Genomic DNA, 2,754 nt, shown 5'->3' on the forward strand with positions numbered 1-2,754 from the left:
ATACAGAGTTATGATTTAAACCATTACTCCCAGCCTGGGCAGGGATTTGAGGGAAAGCAATCTAGAGCGAATGAAGTGAACGAAGGCACTCAGGAATGACTAGGCTGACTTAGCTCAAGGGCAGTAGAAAGGAAAGAGGTGGGGTAAACTGGCAGCTGAGAGGAGGAGGGGGCTGGGGGTCCCAGTAAGCTTAGTCCTCTGGAGCTGGTGTGATAAGCTTGTAGAAAGCTACCATGAGGAGTGGTTATCTTGTCATATGGCTTTTTGCAGACCTAGAATCTGAAGACCTAGTGGGAAATGGAATGGTCTTTAAAATTAGTATCAGCACTTACAAGAGTCTACACAGATGAAAACCCATCATCTGGGAGGCTGCCTAGACCAACAATAAACAAAAATATAAGCCAGATAGTAAAGTTTGGTATAAGGGCTAGGAGTGCAACAAACAGGGTGGTAACAGAGTAACTGGGGTGGGGGAACCAAGTTCAGACAGGGAGTTGTATAGACAGGAATAGTGGTCCAACAATGCTCTTTTCAGCCACTCCTAGTCACACTAAAATAGCAACTCATGGAGTATTATGTATATATTTCAAATGTATGTATGTATATATTTCAAAATTACATGAAACTACAAAGATGTCTAATATCGTGTTTGCTTTTGTAAAACTAACTATAAGGAATGTGCCCTTGAAGAATATAAAAAAGTATATAAACTTAATTCAAAGTCTATGATTTTGTAGGGAAGTTTCTAGTTGGAAGAAAATATTATTTGAAACAGTTTTTTAAAATTTTTCCTTTTTTCCTTTTTTTTTTTTTTTTGTAGCTAGGACTACAGGTGCATGCCATGACACCCAGCTAATTTTTTGTATTTTTAGTAGATACAGGGTTTCACCATATTGGCCAGGCTGGTCTTGAACTCCCGACCTCAGGTGATCCGCCCACCTCAGCCTCCCAAAGTGCTGGGATTACCGATGTGAGCCACTGCACCCAGTGTACATTTTTTATTTTAAAAAATACAGAGATAGGGGTCTTGCTATGTTGCCCAGGCTGCTCTCGAATTACTGGCCTCATACAGTCTTCCCACCTCGGCCACCCAAAGTGCTAGGATTACACTTGTGAGCCACCATGCCCATCTTGAATGCATTTTGAGAGATATAGAGAATCATAGTTTTATAAGGCAATGTTTTCTCTTTTGGTTTGTCTTTCTTTTCTTTTCTTTTTCTTTTTTTTTTTTTTTTTTTTTGAGACAGGGTGTCATTCTGTCCTCTGTCACCCAGGCTGGAGTGCAGTGACATGATCACGGCTCACTGCAGCCTTGACCTCCTAGGGTCAAACAATTCTTCCACCTCAGTCTCCCAAGTAGCTGGAGGCGTGCACCACCATGCCTGGCTAATTTTTTTTTTTTACTTTTTGTAGAGACAGTGTCTTGCCATGTTGACCAGGCTGGCCTCAAATTCCTGGGTTCAAGTGATCCTCCCGCCTCCCAAAGTGTTGAGATTACAGGTGTGAGCCACTATACCTGGCCAAGGCAATGTTTTTATTTCAAAATACAGACACACAGGGCTGGGCGCAGTGGCTCACGCCTGTAATCCCAGCACTTTGGGAGGCCGAGGCAGGTGGATCACGAGGTCAGGAGATCGAGACCATCCTGGCTAACATGGTGAAATCCTTGTCTCTACTAAAAATACAAAAAAATTAGCCGGGTATGATGGCGGGCGCCTATAGTCCCAGCTACTCGGGAAGCTAAGGCAGGAGAATGGCGTGAACCCGGGAGGCGGAGCTTGCAGTGAGCCGAGATCACGCCACTGCACTCCAGCCTGGGCGAGAGCCAGACTCCGTCTCAAACAAACAAACAAACAAAAATACAGACACAGAGTTTGAAAACTGCTGGCTTCACTAGAATAATTGTTAGTGGAGGTTGTGTTGTCAAAGAATGATCCCAGGGGTATCTGAAATTTCTACAAACTCCAGAAAAGTCAGGTGCCCCTACAGCATGTGGCCTGAAAGAAATTATCTTCCCAAAAGCAGAAGTCTCTCAGATGTGTGATACTGGGCATCCCCATACTCAGAGAGCACAACACGAAAGGTTATAGTTTTTAAACTCATGAGTAAGTCAACAGGATTTCCTTAATTTTTTCTCTTACTAAAATGATAAAAATACAACAGGAAAAAAAATTTATTGAAAGCAGGATTGGCTGGGCATGGTGGCCTATAATCCCAGCACTTTAGGAGGCCTGGGCAGGAGGATCGCTTGACCAGGAATTCCAGATCAGCCTGGGCAACATAGTGAGACACCTCCAATCTCTACAGAAAAAAATTTTTTTTAATGAGCCAGGTGAAGTGGCACCCTCCTGTAGTCCCGGCTGCTTAGGAGGCTGAGGTGAGAGGATTGCTTGAGCCCAGAAGTTTGAGGTTGCAGGGGGCTATGATTGCAGCACTGCACTCCAGCCTGGGAGACAGAGTGAGACCCCATTTCTAAGAAAAAACAAAGTAAGCGAGCAAGCAAGCAAGAAAGCAGGCAAGTGAAAAAGCAGGATTCATGGACTCCAAACTCCCTAGATCCCCTTGGCTGAAAGCCTTCCTTGTACCACTAATTACATTAAATGCTGGACATGCAAGTTGGACAATACATATTCCCTCTTGGGGATTAGCTTAGTGTAAAAGAGACATAAGAAAAAACAATTACAGGCTGCGTGTGGTAGCTTACACCTGTAATCCAAGCACTTTAGGAGGCCAAGCGGGTGGATCCCTTGAGCT

The sequence above is a fragment of the Homo sapiens genome, chromosome 8, assembly GCF_000001405.40.
Source record: "Homo sapiens chromosome 8, GRCh38.p14 Primary Assembly".
NCBI lineage: Eukaryota > Metazoa > Chordata > Mammalia > Primates > Hominidae > Homo > Homo sapiens.